Below are 18800 nucleotides of genomic sequence, written 5' to 3'. Positions count from 1 at the left end.
ATCTTTGAAATAGTTGGCTGTAGCATATTATTTTTTTCATTCTCATATAAAGTCAATATATTTTGTGTGAGAAGTTTGCATCTAGTTAGCAACTACCATGGTTATCTCAGGCTTTGTGGCACAGAGTCTAGCTTAGTGAGAATGGCAAGGTACATAACTCACATAGATGTTGTGAGATTTGCATGACGTAACTGTATAAATACCTAGAATACTGTCAGCATCTAGTAACAGCTTACTAAATATTGGGTTCTTGAGTGAATTGAAATCGAGGTAAAGATAACAATTACCCATATCTTAGTTGTATTTAACTTTGGTGCAGTAGTGGTTGCGGTTCTTGCCATTAATGCAATCACTTTTGCACCAACCTATCATTACTACATTTTATCCAATTTTTTTCCATTTTTCACTTATAATATAGTAAAACTTATATTGGTTGTCATCGTTTTTAAAAGCTGTGCATTTTTGAGTATGAATCATTAATTGACAACATATTTTCTCATGTTTAGTATTATATGCTTCTCTCATAATCTTAAATATTGTTTCTTAAAATTATGTATAATACTATGCACTTCTTTTGTTTCATGTTTTATCGCAGATTTAATGAGAAGTTGTTTAAAAAAATCTCATATTTATACATTTGCAATTGTGTTAGTAGCAAAAAGATACCTACTATTTTTCAATTGATTGTGGCATTATTTTTTTGAGGGACGTGTTTTCAAAATTGTTGATTCCTCTCTAAAAGGTCTGAACTACTGAAGTTGTCAAATAAGGTTTCAGATTTCTCCCTTCCCCTCCATCTATACCCCAGAATCAGCTTCCTTCTCTGCCATGGATTATGTTTGGGGTAAAAAAGGAAGACGGTTCAGATTGATAAAGCAATACTCCTGGGAAAAGACTATTAACATGTATAAAGGGATTTCCTTGCAGTATAAATACTAGCGCGCACCCTCCTGGTGCCTCAGAGCCTTCCTGATGTATATATGCAGGTAGTGAGAATTGAATCGGCCCTTTGAGACAGTAATATAATAAAACTCTGATTTGGGGAGCAGCGGTTCTCCTTATTTTTCTACTCTCTTGTGGGAATGAGTTGCCAAGCTTTTACTTCGGCTGATACCTTTATACCTCTGAATTCTGACGCCTCTGCAACTCTGCCTCTGATAATGCATCACAGTGCTGCCGAGTGTCTACCAGTCTCCAACCATGCCACCAATGTGATGTCTACAGGTACTGACTCCTATGACAGTTTACATATGACCGGGCCTAAATATTTCAGAATGAATGCTTTGAATCTTGATAGTTAATAATCTCTTTGCATCTTTCATTTTACCCCTCCAATTTAATTTGTCTTAAGTGAAGTAAGCATTAAGCATATCTAAAAAGCCAACATGCCAAATAAATTTTAAAGAAATATTAGTAAGTGTAGTAATTTAAAATCACTGTTGGCTTTGTTGTAAGGAAGAAAATCTGTTTTCTACATAAGAAAAGAATGAACTTGGACATTTTAAATCTAAAAACCTTTTTAATGGAAATATTTATAGAATAAGGAGCAAATGAAATGAATATTATAAAATAACAATATTTAAAAGGTGCTACTTCTTTATCTTAAAGGTTTATTCGGTTGTTAAATTACATTTACTATCTAAAAACAGCTATAAACCTTATATTAAACACAACAGAACAATCTGAATATCAACAACAATGGATTTCATAGAATAAAATAGAGTTTTAATTAACATATTTTAGCATAAGATACAGAAATTATAGCAAGAAATAACATGACATTTAAAGCCCATTAACTAAGGTAAATTTTCTCAAAATTGCATTCTGAAGAGACTTACTTCACTTCTAAGTTTTAACATTTATCTCACATAACTTTTTAGAACAAAAATTAAACCTAAGAATTCACAGGCTCAACACAATCAGCCAAATACATATGTTTTGCCAGTGTGTTCATTCTTTATGCAGTAACAAAGTGTTTTAGAGTTGATTTACAAATGGAGAAAGACTTGAATTGGGTAAATTTCTTCCATTGAATAGCAATATAATATTCACTTTCCACTTGTTTTAAATGCAATTTTTCTCATATTTAGGAATGAAATTATATACATTTAGAAATCAAAGTTTGAGTTGATACATTATTCTGATTTGAAGGATTTAAGCTCTATCTTTTGTTATTATTAAGCATTTTCTAAATACATGCGTAAGTTTGGCACCAATCTTCTGGTGGATTTTAAAGAATCTAGAGGTCAGATATTTAGACTTTGGTAAAATCATTTAATGTAGAGATTTTTCAATATTACCTTTTAAATTAAATTTCAGGAATCCGCCAAAGATTTCTGTAATTTAATTTAAAGGGTAATACAGGAAGTATCCTCCAACATAATTTTTGGAAGACACAATAGTTTTTATCAAAAATATATGCTATAAATAAATCTAAGCAATTACCACATAGCTAATCACATATTTTAAATAGTAGGTCATCCTATAGATTGAGAATAATGAGAATAATACACTATTTCTGTGTTTGAAGATAATTTGGCCAGCATGAAAATACAATTCAGAATCGAGGTAATAATCTAGTAAAATCTAATTTTATACTCAAAATGCCATTTATTTACTTTAAAATAAGTAACAATTTATTTAGTAAATTAGCCTATCCTGTATTTAACTTCCTAAAATCTGAAAAGCAAAAATTATTTAAGCCTTAAAATTAAAAAAGAATTATAATTAATAAAAGTGACCTACAAATGTTTTAAATGATAATAGCATTGATTTATAATTTTTTAATGAAATTTGAATCATATACATCTAATTGTCTAAGGAACTATTATAGAAACACTGACTTTAATGGGAACACTTGAGTATTAAATATGTTTAATGATAATTTGCTTAATTTTGGAATGCACAGTAATGCATTATATGTAATCATTATATTGCAAAATGACTTTAGTTCTTTTGAGCTATTAATTATAAAATAAAAATGTATACAGATTTTTAAAAATTAAAGATTTTTCTCTATTTTAAAATAATTTATTTTACTTTATGAAGAAAGGCATGTCTTTAATCACTAGTTTGTATATTGGTATTCTCAAAGGATTCTAACCATACTTTATAATATCTCATTTATTCAAGAAAATTAATTTATGAAAATTAACCAATATATTCAGAATATGAAGGAAAAAATTGAGAAAATAAAATATATAAGGAAATATTGGTTTTATTGTCAATATTTTGTGCTCCCTATCAACTTGATGATTTGTGTTTAAAACTTGATAAAAGTCTAATAATTCCAGTTTACTTCCAAAATACACATTGATTTCCTGAAGCATATAACCATTTATGAACGGTTATGTTTATGTACGGCTTTATGGCTTTATGGATATTAAGTCACTCAATGAATGAACTCATTTTTTGACCAGCTTTATCATTAGAATGGTTGTATCAATTGTGTATATGCAGACAACTAACAACCTCATGGTTTCAACATCAAAATAAATAGATCATATATTGTTACAGGTTTTTAATAGCACTCTGAATGCAGTGAGATTTTTATGATTGTATCTAATAAAAGGCTACTTGCTCTGCCATTTCCACTTTGATGAAACAAATTTGTTAGACAAATAAGCAAAAATACGCTGTTCAAGAGTGAATTTCTGTATTCATTCATACAGACTGCTTTATAATACCATGCAACACAAGAATTTTAAAGGACTATTCTTCTAGTCGGCGAGTTGCAATGTCTGCATTGAACAGAACCAACAAGCATTCTGCAACTCCCAAAGGGCCAAGGTCTAAATTGGTCAGTCACCCCTTCACGGGGCACTCGTAGCCATAGCACAGAGCACAGGATAATTAATGAAGTCCGTTTTGATGATTTATTATCTCGTTACATGAGACAAACTTTGATCCCCCCTAGTTTTAACCTACTCGTCAGAGAACTTACCCAAAATGAGAAAAACATATTGGCATGTAACTTTAAGAACCACATAAATGTGTATTTTTGAAATAAAACGAATGTGTCTTGAATCCTTATACATTTTCTTACCAGTCCCATCTATTTTGTCTTTGATCCAAACTCCTAAATGTTTGTGCACACATTTCTCGGTGACAACGTTGGGAAACACAGCAACAGGACTTCATTATTCTGTTCCTTCCTGTCATTATGGAAACCAGCCATCAACCTATGGAGTGATGGCAGGTAAGAAAAGTTGTCTTTTACATGTTATTGAATTTGGGGACACTTAGATGGATTTTCTGGGCCTGAAAGAATTGTGATCAGAGTGTGACATGAAATTTGATTTCTTAACTTTGAAAATTACTGTTAAAAATCACCACTTCTTGTTTCCTGCTCTGTGACACCCACAGAGACCATAGGGGTTATACCTAATTTCCCTACTTACGTATCTCTGAACTGCTGTGCTTCTTGAGTTTGCTTTGTATGGTTTTTATTGAAATTCACTATCGTCAAACTGTTAGTTGTAACATGATGCTATTGGTAGGCTTACCTTCACTAAAAATATAGTAGCTACTAGACACGTGTGGCTATTTAAATTTAAATGTAAACTAGGTAAAATAAAACAAGATTTCAAATTCAGTTTCTCAGTTGCACTTGCTACATTTCAAGTGCTCTATAACCACATGTGGCTAGCGACTCCCATATCAGACAGCACAGGTTTACAGAACACCCCCCCTCATCATTATATTTCTTCTGGACCTTTGGTCCATAAACATAAATAAGACATTGATTGAAGCTAAGAGTGATTGGTAGGGGCTTTAGTGATAGCTGTTTCAGGCTTTAGCAGCCCTTTCTGAATTGCTTCTGAGTGAGTCTTAAGTGAGATTGAAATCATTGAAGTTACATACTTTTCTCCTATAGGTAAGTGAAGTATGACTGTATCAATTATGGCTACCTGCTTATTGATCCTTCTATAAAGGCATTGAAGCACAGTTTTTGAGGAATGCGTAGATCTGGCTTATGAGATCTATTCATCAAAAATTCTTGTTTAATTTCATGGCATGGCCACATAAGATTTTAATTGTTTTTAAAAAGTACACAGTTTTATTATGCGCAGGATTTTCATTTGTTGGTTTATTTTTAAGATAGCTTTAGGAGATATACCTAACGCTAAATGACAAGTTAATGGGTGCAGCGCACCAGCATGGCGCATGTATACATATGTAACTAACCTGCACATTGTACACATGTACCCTAAAACTTAAAGTATAATAATAATAAAAGAAAAGAAAAGAAATTCTTTGATATTTTATCTTTATTACTACAGCAGGAAAAGAATTCTTATTGATGACAAACTGTGTGAGTAAATGTGTGTGTGCGTGTGCATGGTGTGTGTGTATGTGTGTGATACTGAGGGAAAAACTGTGGATAAAGGAATCACTTATTAGGGAAATCTTTTCTAATTGACTTGTGTTTTGTTATGATACAGATAAGCAGTAAAAAAAAAAAACCGCAGACAAATATTGATTTATTCCTATAATTTTCAAGTAAAATGGAGCAAATAGTTTAATTTTAATTAAATTGTTTAACCTTTGATATCTCAAAATTTGTCCATGTAAGACTAAATAGAACATTAAAACTTTAAAATAATAATCCAGAAAAATATGAGCTTCTCCTACATTCTATCAAGCAACATTCTGAATAAACCAGTATCCTAACATTTATGGTTAAATGAAGACTGGTGTTCTTAACAATGACCTGTAAATCCTGACGTCTTTTTTTAAAAATTAAGAATTAAAGCCATATTTTTTCTTCCTCTCTGAAAATTGATTATTTATGATCAACATGCTTAATTAGTATTCATGGTTAATGAGAATAGCCCTCCTCAATGATGAACTACTGTCATTATAAAATAGTAAAATAAATGCGTTTAGCTACTGGAGGTGCGGGTGGATTGCTTTCTGTGGCCTTTACAGCATTTTGATTATGAGACAGGAAATGACAAACACATGCCACTGTTTCCTGGAGGAAAGACCTTACAGTTCATTTAGAGGAACTCCCAGGAACCAAGGTACATTGTTAGTTTCTCTCTTAACCCAGCACAGAGGCAGTCCCTGCCAGTTGATTGAGGTTGGCACCAAGATTAAAACCAGTCACAGAGCAGGGGCCAATAATCTCTGGCCCAAATACCTTCAGATAATTTTTGCTACCAACTCCCACCCTGCCTAATCAGAGAGGGCCACCACTGGCCTCGGGAGTTTGCAGCTGGCCTCAGAATTCTAACACCCTTACTGCTTCCAGGACTGGAGCCAATATGCCAATGTTCACATTGAGAGTGTTGGCAGCTCATGTCTTTCTGATACAAGTTTCCTCCAGCATGAACTCAGCAAACCCTCTTCCACGAACCTCTTCCTCATTTCAATTAAAATGTAAAGACCCCTGGAAGAGCCTTTCAAAATGATTCAAAACCCTGTCTTAGTGACATCAAGAGCAGAAGACTTACACCAAGGTCTGGAGCTATCACTGTGGTCTTAAGATTAAATATATTCTGTGACTGAAAGAAAAACTCACCATCACAAGCACAAAGATATTTGAATATTTTTGAGAGGGATTGTTAAATCCCTCTCAAAAATTTTGTTAAAATGTGATATGCTTTAAATGTCAGAATGTCTATATTGGGACATAATTCAGTATTAGCATTTGCTTCATGAGAGATTAGATCTTAGAGAATCTGAACTCTCCTGACTTTATCCCCAGTAAAGCTGCATAAATTGAGTTACAAAATACAGCAATTCAGAAATAAGAGAGAAAAGGTAAATAAGAGACAAATGTATAAAGTACACAATAGAAACCTTATTATGTCATCTGAATTTTCTGAGAAGTCTTAAGTCATTAATCAAATCAGCCCCTTGCACACAATCCACAGAAGTGTCTTAACAACAACAACGACACGGTGTCACATACTCTATATAAAAGTGAAGCTACAGGAAGAACTATATTTCTAAAATATGTGAAATTACTTTATTTTCATATGGTTATTTCATTACTCATACTCTGATGCTTACATTTAGTTTGAGCATTTCATTAAATTAATAACTCACAGGAAAAGAAGAGCTATAACTAATATTTTGTCAGGTTGGTAGGTAGAATTTTAATGATCAGATGAATCCACTGTACGTAATAGTCCAGGTGCAGGCAAAATAAAGAGAATGACTAATTGGGAGTAATGAATTATCCATGCCATTAACTAATTACTAACATTGTTCAAGTGATTAACACCTCTGAGTTCCAATCTCTTCATATCTACGTTGTGGTGGGTACTACAACTCTACTGGGGTTGAGTAGTAGCAAATTTGTGTCAGCTCAAAATGATTTCTCTTTTGCCCTTCTCTTCACGTACTCTTGCAGCTAAATTCCTTCTGTCCTTTCACTCCTGAGAACTTAGAGAATTCAAATCAACACCTTACAGTACAAATAATAGAAAACCTAGAATTACAGATGCTGTTCAAAGTCTCTCCTAGATAAACACAAAACAAAACAAAGTATCAAAAAAAAAGTTCTCAAAACTCTGACTCTTGGGTTTCTGAGATTGTTTCTGTTCTCCAGTATCTGAAGCAGAGTACAATTCAGGAAACAAGCTCAATGGGGGTTCACCCTTTCTGCTGTCCTGTGGAAACAGCAAATCAACCTCACTGTAATAAATGTTAAACCCACCATCTTTACATGATGTAGTGGCCAAACCAAGAAGTAGTGTGAAAGTCCTTGCTTTAAAAGTTAATTTCAAGGGGAAAACAAAACAAAACAAAACAAACAAACTTGTTTAAGTCCCAAACTCTTGGGACTTAAACAAGATGATGAGCATCCAATTCTTTTTCATGAGAAGTGGATATTAAAAGAAAAGATTGTTATGGCTGAAAATATTCTTGCTGCCTGGGCTAATACAGAAGAAAACGGAAATCAGCCTGGCAACTGACAGGGAGAAATAGTCTAGTCTATTTTTGGAACCCATCTTTTCATTTTTTGAAATTTGAAATTTTTTTTTCTTAATTTACTTCTTTTGTTTAGTTCTTTGTTTTATTTGGCCCTAAATTGTTCTGGTTGTAACAACTCTAAGGAAACAAGTAATTCTGAAGATCTTTTGCTTCCACATCGTGAAAGGTCTTTTGGTAGCAGTAACATGATGTATTTTCACTTCCAGACTAGGGGTTGGCAACCCTTTTCTGTAAAGAACCAGACAGTAAATATCTCAACCTTTCTAGTTTTTGTTGCAACTATTCAACCTGTCATTGTAGTAGGAAAGCAGTCACAGCCTGTGTGTAAAGAAATAGGCATTTCAAATTAAACTTAATTTACAAACACAGGCAATAGGCCCCAGTTGTACACGGATAGGATTTACCAATGCACAAGAGTGAAAAGATCACAGTGGAAGTTTATAATTTCCTTTGAATTTTTATGCCTAAGCAACAGAGGGGAATATATGGAAATATTCAGATACATGTTCCTGTGCATGTTACAAGCACAGCAGGGTGGCGTATTTTACTATGTCCCTCTGCTTCCCCTGTTTGTTTTTTTAAGGCATCAAGCCAGTAACGTGAGATGATGTTGTCAGCTAACCACATGCTGCAAAGATCAATTTGCCCCATGCTATGGTACATTGAGTCAGCGCCTAGTAAGGCATCCCTATCTCTGACCCCCATTGCCTGCTTTAAAAGATTTACCTCTGTTCTTCTCTCTCCTCTGTCACACAGAAATGCATACATAGCAATTTAGAAAGGCTCTGGTGAATTAATCTTCAATGTGAAAATGTATTTGGAACTACAGTGTGCAAACACTTCTGAGCTATGTGTGTGTGTGCTGTCCAGGCCTCAAGATAATTTTTCTTTATCCATGTTTCAGAAAATGTTGATGAGACCTCTGTCACACATGACTCACAACATCTTTTATCTTATTCCTACTTTTTGCAGTAATCTGGGTTTTAAAAAGATTTGAAAAACATATTGCTATACATATCATCCCAATCACTCTCCACACTCCCCCAAATGCAGGCTCAGATGCTAGAAACAGAGGTTCGTTTGGCTGTTCTTTTAAATTGTTGTGATGAAATTCTGTGTGAAGTTAGTTCCAGGAAATCTGTGACCTTGCAGATAATTGTAGATACTTTCATGCAATGAAAAATGAAAGTGAACCAGGTGCAGTGGCTCACAACTGTAATCCCAGCACTTTAGGAGGCCGAGGCAGGCAGATCACCTGAGGTCAGGAGTCCGAGAATAGCCTGGCCAATGTGGTGAAACCCTGTCTCTAAATAAAAAATTATAAATAAAAAATAAATTAAAAAATATAAAAATTAGCCGGGTGTGGTGGCAGGCACCTGTAGTCCCAGCTACTAGGGAGGCTGAGGCAGGAGAATTGCTTGAAGCTAGGAGGCATAGGTTTCAGTGAGCCGAGAGCACTCCAGCCTAGGGAACAAGAGCGAGACGCTGTGTCAAAAAAAAAAAAAAAAAAAAAGGGAAAGGGAAAAAAATAAAAAATGTATCACACATCACATTTTCCTTCTTGTTCTGGATGCCAAACCTTGGAGCATGGTATTTTCTGTGTACTTTTCATGGATTCCATTCAAATTTGTTTTCTGCGTGTCCACTTTCCCAGAGTACTTACAATGTATAAACTACCTTTCAATTTTTGTGGCTGGGTTCTGTGGCTTATACCTATAATTCTAGCACTACAGGAAGCTGTGGCTGGAGGATTGCTTGAAGCCAGGAGTTTTGAGACCAGCCTGGGCAACATAGTGAGATCCCGTCTGTGCAAAAAATTTAAAAAAGTAGATGAGCATGGCGGTGCATGCCTGTAGATTCTACTTAGGATGCTGAGGTGGGAGGATGGCTTGAGGCCAGAAATTTGAGATTGCAATGAGCTAAGATTTTACCACTGCACTCCAGTCTAGGAGACAGAGTGTGACCCCATCTCTAAAAATAAAGAATAAATAAGCAAACAAACAAATAAACAATTTTACGGAAACAGGGATGACACACTTTATATATATTTTATTGTAATATTTTTGTGGAACAGTGTTTGTTTAATATAGCCAAAGGTGTTTAAATGCAGAGAAAACCTTTTAAAGAGAAGTTATTTAATTTGCCTGAGTATAGACTGCCTGGAGAATGAACCGGGCAATGATTTTGATGTGGCTTACTGCAATGCTTATTAGACTTTAGTTCTGGTTTAAACTGCAAAGTTAATTCGTTGGGCACTGGAGGCAAGTTATTTACTTTCTTTCTACTTAAATTTCCTCCATTGTAAATTATGGGGAAAAATATATATCTTTCCTGACTCATTTTTTGTATAAGGATAAAGATGATAACAAATGTGAAATTAACACGACACAAAGTGTTGCATAGAAGATTTGTAGCAGTACATAATTATGATCAGCAAGAGAAATTGAAAATAATAATAATAATTGATAACAAATTTAGACCTTTTAGTATGCGTAAGTAAAAAACACACAAATTTTTTATATAAAATAAACATAATTTGACATAGGTTAAATGAGTTATCTAAAGTGTCTTAAAATATGTTAAATGTACAAAATCTAACAGTAGCCTGGCTTTTCTTTGTACTCTTTCTCAGGGTATTTTATCATTAAATGTATTAAGTGATACCTGATGGACCTAAATAATCAAAGAAGTGAAGGTTTTATAAATATATGTGAGAATCAATTCTGAAAGCATAAGCACAAAACAAGTCTTCAGATAAATATGAGATTAAATAAATGATAACATAAATGTCATCAATTTTCTTTTACATCTATTAGTCCTTCTTTTAATTTAGCAGAAAATTAAAATTAATAAAAAGCTAAAAATAAACCCCACGGCAATAAATATTTTCAAGAAAAGCTATATAATAAAAGAAAAGTTGGTAAAATTGCTTTTAAAAATGTTCTCTTGTCTGATCAAGATGCCACACAATAAAGCATAAAATGGATAGTTAACTGACTTTTACAAAAGTAAACCTGGATAATTTTGGTTTGTAAAAGTAGCAGGAATTTTTTAAAGACAAAAATAATTTCTTTCACATCTTTTCCCAGCTTTAGAGCAGATAAATTTATGTTATGCTAATTTGTTTAATCTCTCATTTGTATGTTTACTTTGTTTTAGAAAAAATAATATACCCTATTAGATATAATTACATATTTATAATTACATATTTTTATATAAATTTATAATTATATATTTATAATTACACATTTATAATTATATATTTATAATTACATATTTTATATAAATAATACATTAAATTAAATTTATATAAAATTTAATACATTAAATTAAATTTATATAAAATATAAATTTTATATAAATAAATTAAATTAAATAAATAACTACATATTTATGATTACATATTTTTATATAAAAAATATAAACCAACAATTTGCTGAGTTACGGTATTCTTTGCTCATTATATATTGATATATTAATGTAAGATTTCTGTATTCTGGAAAATATATTATTACTCATGTCTTTGATTTGAGAATGTATGTGTGGAGAAATTATAGGTAGCATGAACTCTTGATGCATTTTTTTCCAGTAAGTTTCTAAGAATAATTATTGCATGTATTCCATAGTAATTTATTTTAAAATATTTATATTTATAAGAAAATGATTAATTACTCAATATTTTTATATAAAAATGTCTTGCTTATACAATCATCCTTCTATGTGGCACATTGGTTCCAGGACCCCCAAGGATACCAAAATCTTTCGATGCTCAAGTCCCTGGTATAAAATGGTGTAGTATTTGCATATAACCTAGGCACATCTTCTACCTTAAATCATCTCCAGATTACTTATAATATCTAAATCAATGTAAATGCTATGTAAATAATTGTTATACTGTATTGGGTTTTTTATTTGTATCATTTTTATTCTTGTGTTGTTATTTTTTACTTTATTTTTTAAGTGTATTTAATTCATGGTTGCATCAATCCATGAATGCAGAACCCATGGATATGGAAGGCACACTAGACATGTCATTTAATATAAATTGAAGTAGAATCTTTGTCGATAAAAATTGTAATGTATTGATAAAGAAAACAAGAAACAAAATGTGTTGGAATTTGGCTTATATACTGTCCTCTCACCTATACTTCCCAACTGAGATAGACTCTTCCAATGAAAAAGGAAATCTGGAAGCAATTGTGTAATAATTTCAGACCTTTTTACATTTTTTGTGATTTAACATATCCACTCAGTAGAGTCAATGCTTTACCATTTATCGGTAATCACTTATCATATATAAAGTTGCAAACTTTCTTGCTTCTTATATTTGCTTTTCCTTAAATAATAATCAAGAAATTATTCTATTATATTGTATATTTTTCAAGAAATCTTGTTAGTGACTTTTTAATAGAACTTTTAAGGTTACCTTTTGTTAATATTTAATCACTCCTCAAGCCTATTTAGCCATATTAATATACTTTATATTCTCATCATTCTCTTTCTGCCTACCTTCATTTAATTAAAAAAGATGTGATTATTTCTTAATAAAATCAAGTTTTTACTGATTAAATAGTGGGGCGTTTTTATATTGTGAAATCAATTTCCCAATCACAAGAAAACTTCTCAGCATAGCACTTAGCCGAAGCATTTAGTGCCATGATCACAACAAACATCACCCATTATTTATTCAATGAATTAAGAAAACAGAGTTCAATGCATAGACTCTGGTTAGAGTTCAACCTCAGATTCCCAGGAATAGGTGTCATTTAAGAGAAAAACATGATAGAAAATGTATGCTTCTGAGAGAAGTTGTTTGTTTCTATTTTAGTTATTTGCAGTCCCCTGCTTCTTTCCTTTAACCCTATCTTTGGTTTTGCTGCTCTGGAGAAGGTAGAAGACAAATAATCTCAATTCTACTAAGCTACTTTGACTCCTTCTTCGGAAGACTGAATGTAAGGTAACCTTGTAAGTACTGAGACAGGCTAGAGCAGAATAATGGGCTAAGTCAGGCAAAACCCTTTCTTATATAGAAATAAGGAGAATGACAAATGGTCTTTTTCATTTTATTTCTTTGTTTACTCACAGGTAGTTTAACCCCTTGTCTTTATAAATTTCCTGACCACACCTTGAGTCATGGATTTCCTCCTATACACCAGCCTCTTCTGGCAGAGGACCCCACAGCTGCTGATTTCAAGCAGGAACTCAGGCGGAAAAGTAAATTGGTGGAAGAGCCAATAGACATGGATTCTCCAGAAATCAGAGAACTTGAAAAGTTTGCCAATGAATTTAAAGTGAGACGAATTAAATTAGGTATGTGCTTGTTAAAGGCAACAGGAAAAAGAACTTGGTTTGCAAATCTTTATTGCTGTTAAATCTCTTATATATTGCTAAAAAGTACAAGATGATTCTCATTCTTCATCTCTACTGTGGACGTAGTTAGTCGTTATGGAAATCCTCCAAAAACATTTGTTTCCTTATAATTTCTTAAGAGCCTAAATACATAATTTTTAAATTAATAATACTCTTTCAAAACTTACCTCAACATTAGTTTTGAAGTGCCCATTTTTATCTATATTTTATTTGAAATTTTGAATAGGCCATACATTTATATGATTCAAAAGTACAAAAGAGTATAAGTGACATGTATCCCTTCTGCTTGCTTTTTCTGTATATCGTTGTTAGTTCCTTGTGTATCTTTCCAATGATATCTCATGGATATATAAGTAAATATATATGGAAATATATGTATTGTGCCAAACATATGTATTATTTGAAGTTTTCAGTAGTAATTTTTCTAGAGCTCCTTTTCCTTTGTGGGGCTGTCAAGTTCCACTTTATGAATATACTGCAATTTATTTGACCAGTCCTCTACTGATGAAATTTAGGTGGTTTCTGATCTTTGGCTGATAAAAACGATACCACGATGATTAACCCTATAAATGTTATTTTGCACTCATATAAATATATGCGCAGCAAAAATGTTAGAAGCACAATTGCTTGATCAAAAGTATGTGTACTGGTAATTTTGATAGATGTTATCAAACTGGTCTCTAGAGAAGTTGTACCAAATTTTACTACTACCATGAGAATCTTTTTCACCATCCTCAGGCTATATAAACTCCAAAACGGCATGAGTTTTTAAAATCTATTTCTTTTTATTTTCTCCTTAATGATATCTCCAGCATCTAGAAGAGTATAACTATAACACAAAATAAATAAATGGTGGTTGAAAGAAAAAATATGCTGTTAATCTTTTAGATCTTTGCAAATCAGACAGGTCAAAGTGACATCTCACTGTTTTTTCATTTAAAATTTCTTTTATTATGAGTGTAAAGTATATTATTTAATATGCTTGACAATCATTTATATTTCCTTTTCTGTGAACTATCTGTTCAGAGCCTTTGCTCATTTTCTACTGAAGTGTTTTTAAAATAAAACAACTATAACAATTGACTTTGGTTAAATTGCATAAAATTGTGTATTTTTTTAATGGATTGAAATAATAGTTCAAACCTCTGCACTTGCAGAATGAACAATAGATAATGTAATAAGAATATTTATTGATGGGCATCATATGCAACCATTTTATACATATAGGTATATAGCCTTAGGTCCTGAAATAATATGTAGCTATTACATGTGATAAGCACAGTAGTAGGAATCTTTGTGAAATTCATTTTCAGTTTTCTATCTATATTACTGTGAATGTTTCAAATTATATGTTATTTCAGCTGTACTCTAAAAATGTTTGCGACAAACAATAAGGATCATTAGTCTGAAGACAGAGGCATTATCAAAAACTATAAAATGGGCTCAGAAGTATACATGAAATGTGTAATCATAGCCTCTTAATAAATATGGTTTTAGGGAAAGTGACATAATTCTTAGTTTTATTTAGTACCCTTCAACAATATCATTGAATCTTTTAGAGTTGAAATAAGAATGTTATGATATATAACCGTATATTTTATGCATTATAGTTAATATATTAAAATTTTTTGAGCATATATTATTTGATAACTAACAATAATGATAAAAAAGCCATAATTTTCAAGTGCCTTATGAAGTGTTTAGGACACACCTAAACACTGGTTAAATATTATGAATGGCAGATGTTTCTATCTGAATTCTTTCAGTGACTAGATAAAAGTAATTTATTAACTAGAAGAAATATGTTTTGAAGTATTGCACAAGTACTTCAAAGTATAATGAATCTTACTAAATAATTCTGATTTGCCAAGAATATATAGTTAAAAAATAGTGTGTAATAGTTGACAAAGATACACAGATTTGTGTGACAATGAACCAAAATTAACATTTCCTGGAAAGTTGGAGCTGATGGTCTTTATTGTCCCTTCACAGGATACACCCAGACAAATGTTGGGGAGGCCCTGGCAGCTGTGCATGGCTCTGAATTCAGTCAAACAACAATCTGCCGATTTGAAAATCTGCAGCTCAGCTTTAAAAATGCATGCAAACTGAAAGCAATATTATCCAAATGGCTGGAGGAAGCTGAGCAAGTAGGAGGTACTAAATTGTGTCTCTGAAGGCTGTGCTGTGTTTTAACCTAAAAATAATGGCTTCAATAAGTAGGATTAATGCTAAAGCAGGAGGTTTGAGGGGTTTTTTTCCGCCTTTTCTCTTTGAGATGAAAAATAAACATTTTGTTATATCACACTAAAACAAACAACAAAAAAGGAAGGGCAATGTAAGTGTGGAAATAAATTTATTGAGGATAGAATAACCTATATAAGGAAAGCTTGTTGGCATCAGCATGAAGGGGTAAAATACTTATTTTTTTACACATCCATTTTTTTCCTCTCTTTTATACTAGAGAAATTATATATGAATCACATTTGTATCCTAATATTAGTGTACACAAAACATTTGCACACACCAGTCTTCCAAGAAAATAATATAAGCAATTGCTAGATATGCAACTTAATGAGCTAAAATTATCTACTCATACAAATGTCAGAGCCTGATAAAGAGTGAGGTTTGAGAGTATTTACAGCAAGCATTCCAACAAAAGTAAAGTGAGGATATTATTTGTAGAAAGTGTCTTTGCAAGGTTAATATTTATTTCTGCGTTGAGATTTTTCTCTAAGGTCTGTAATAGAAAAAGACTGCAAAAATTTAAGACAAAAATGTCTAGCATTTTTATTTTGCATTGTTTTATGAAGAAAATTTGAAATCCAAATCAGATCGTTTTTTATAAAAAGTCTACTTTGTGTTTGTAATTATCTCTCTTTTCCACATTATAGCTTTGTACAATGAAAAAGTGGGAGCAAATGAAAGGAAAAGAAAACGAAGAACAACTATAAGGTATTCTTTATATTAAAAGTTACTAGAGGACAAAACTGGTATTTTATAAATGGAATGAGCATTTGAGTGTAATGCAGGTGTAACATAACATATAAATGTAAGGTGAATTGGGAGGCCAAGGCGGGCCTGAGGTCAGGAGCTCGAGACCAGTCTGGCCAACATGGTGAAACTCTGTTTCTACTAAAAATACAAAATTTAGCCGGGCATGGTGGTGGGTGCCTATAATCCCAGCTACTCAGGAGACTGAGGCAGGAGAATGGCTTGAACCTGGGAGGCGGAGGTTGCAGTGATCCGAGCTTGCGCCACTGCACTCCAGCTTGGGCGACAGAGCGAGACACCGTCTCAAAATAAATAAATAAATAAATAAATAAATAAATAAATAAATAAATAAATAAATAAAAAAAAAATAATAATAATGTAATAACTTAATTTTGAGAAATGGAGAGCTAATAATTTTCAACATTTGATGGAAAATTATGTATTGTTTGATTCAAGAACACTTTTACTCCAAAATTTTGAATACAAACAGAAAGAAAACAATCATTTCTAAGAGACTGGCCATATCTTCTCCCCTTTTAGCTATAACTTATTGCTCTGACAATGTAGTATCCATGGTGTCTATAGTATTTAAAAATGTGACACTAGTAATCAGTGTTTCGGTCTCTTCAAGTTCAACATGACCTCTTGCATTTCAACCCAGAAAGATTGTTCATTGATCTTTTTGTAGTTTCTGTGAGACATGCTTAGCAAATACTAAAAGACAGGTTTTGTTTTGGTTGGTCAGTTGTTTACTAGAGATTTCCTTTATCGTAAACAGCCCTAAATGATTTTGGGGAGATATTTAGAAATGTCTAGGAAAATGTTCATTTTCTTCTCAAGAACTCAGTGCCCTCTGGTGGCACAAAGTGGGAAAAACATAGAAAGTCTGGGTCCCCTACTTAATGCTTTCCGTGACTCTCGTGTAACTCTACCTTACATAAGACAAAATATCTACATATTTAACACATTATACATTTGTCCTTGTTAAAGTGTCCTGCAAGTGTGTTCAGAGTTTTTAAGTTTCCTTTTCATGTTAATATTGAGGAAATTCAACCTACCTTAATTTTGAGCTGCCAAAAACTTCACTAAAAACAACAAAATTTCACCCCCTATGTCCACCCCCCGCCAGCATTGCTGCTAAAGATGCTCTGGAGAGACACTTTGGAGAACAGAATAAACCTTCTTCTCAAGAGATCATGAGGATGGCTGAAGAACTGAATCTGGAGAAAGAAGTAGTAAGAGTTTGGTTTTGCAACCGGAGGCAGAGAGAAAAACGGGTGAAAACAAGTCTGAATCAGAGTTTATTTTCTATTTCTAAGGAACATCTTGAGTGCAGATAAGATTTTTCTATTGTATAATAGCCTTTTTCTCCCGTTTCATTCCTTTCTCTTCCTCAACAAAAACAGAAATTACTTGGTTGACTTAAAATCATTTTATATCAATAGCTTTTACAGAAGCTTTACTTTTCCACTTTTTTTTAAAAAAAAGAAACCAACAATTTAAATTATATTGATGTTATTTACTTAAAATAATTATTCTCAGAAGCCACATTATCTATTTTAAGCCAAATATATTAACAGTAATAAAATGATCTCTCTGTCTCTCCCGCTCTCTTTCTCACACACACGCAGACATATGAGTATGGGTTTATAAGTTCCTTTTCCAAACATGTATATTAGCTTTTTAACATGTAAGTCAGTAATGACACATATGTAAAGCACATCACCAGAAATATCCAATTCAAAAATTAACCAATGTTCTGCTTTCTACCAACTCTACTAATTTGTCTGAACTAAAAGTTTTGAACTTAAGAGCTGGAGGTGTCTTATAGTTTTATTACTCCCTTTAGGAATAAACCTCAATCAGAATTGATACTTTGAAGCTAAAATTTAGGGCATAGCTGATAGAACTGTTTCAAAAGAGATGTGTAGAAACATTAATTTTTGATCTTTTTATTCTTCCTAAATATTAGCTTTTTGATGTGTAGCTGTAGAAAATAATGCTTTATGGATTCTTGAGCCTCAAACCATTAGTCTGTAAGCTGCAACAGGACAGGAAGAGATCTGGCTTGTTTGGTGTTCCCTCTCCAGGGCTTGGGAAAGTTCTTGCTCATATTAGGCATGCAATCTTTGTTAAATGAAGGAGTGTTTAAGGTTAACAATGGCTACAAATGTGAATGGTGTCACCTAATTTTAAATTATAATGTTTTTGAAATCTCACAATCTAGAAAATCATCCAGGTTTCTATAACAAGACATGATCACTTTTGGTATAATCGATTAGAATCTGATTTACTATTTGTAAAAAGTTTGACATATTGAGATTTTAATTCTGAGAATTTTATCGACAAGAACATATTTATTTAAATTATAAGAATGCATTTCCTTGAAACATGCTAGTAGAAGCAAACTGTAATGTGATATTAACTTAGAATAGTGACTGTTTTGCATTTGGATGTAAATCTGCTGGCTATGTTTATCTAACTTATTT

The 18800-nt window shown here is 32.4% G+C and overlaps 1 protein-coding gene across 2 annotated transcripts, besides 1 other annotated feature; it reads left to right on the top strand.

The window, feature by feature from the left end:
* Positions 961-18141, top strand: POU1F1 (POU class 1 homeobox 1). 2 transcript variants are annotated; one of them, NM_000306.4, is made up of 6 exons: positions 961-1224; positions 4127-4198; positions 13033-13257; positions 15310-15474; positions 16212-16272; positions 17441-18141. In NM_000306.4, exons 1-6 carry the CDS (start codon positions 1083-1085, stop codon positions 17649-17651), a joined length of 876 nt encoding a protein of 291 aa, NP_000297.1. In that variant the 5' UTR covers positions 961-1082; the 3' UTR covers positions 17652-18141. The 2 variants fall into 2 exon arrangements, with proteins under 2 accessions (NP_000297.1, NP_001116229.1); NM_001122757.3 differs by having other exon boundaries at positions 4049-4198.
* Positions 4444-4493: a silencer, noted in NCBI's record as "silent region_14544". NCBI's record gives its function as "represses an Ori minimal core promoter by ATAC-STARR-seq in GM12878 lymphoblastoid cells {active_cell/tissue: GM12878}" and the evidence as "EXISTENCE:reporter gene assay evidence [ECO:0000049][PMID:35858748]".

Source organism: Homo sapiens, chromosome 3, assembly GCF_000001405.40.
Source record: "Homo sapiens chromosome 3, GRCh38.p14 Primary Assembly".
In the NCBI taxonomy this organism is placed as follows: domain Eukaryota; kingdom Metazoa; phylum Chordata; class Mammalia; order Primates; family Hominidae; genus Homo; species Homo sapiens.
The sequence above is the reverse complement of the archived record's forward strand: the minus strand, read 5'-3'. Positions and strand labels throughout refer to the sequence as shown.

Coding starts and splice junctions, on each gene's coding strand:
- POU1F1 (NM_001122757.3), top strand. CDS start 1,083: ATGAGTTGCCAAGCTTTTACTTCGGCTGATACCTTTATACCTCTGAAT. Junction 13,258..15,309: donor AGTGAGACGAATTAAATTAG/GTATGTGCTTGT, acceptor GTCCCTTCACAG/GATACACCCAGACAAATGTT. Junction 16,273..17,440: donor AAACGAAGAACAACTATAAG/GTATTCTTTATA, acceptor ACCCCCCGCCAG/CATTGCTGCTAAAGATGCTC.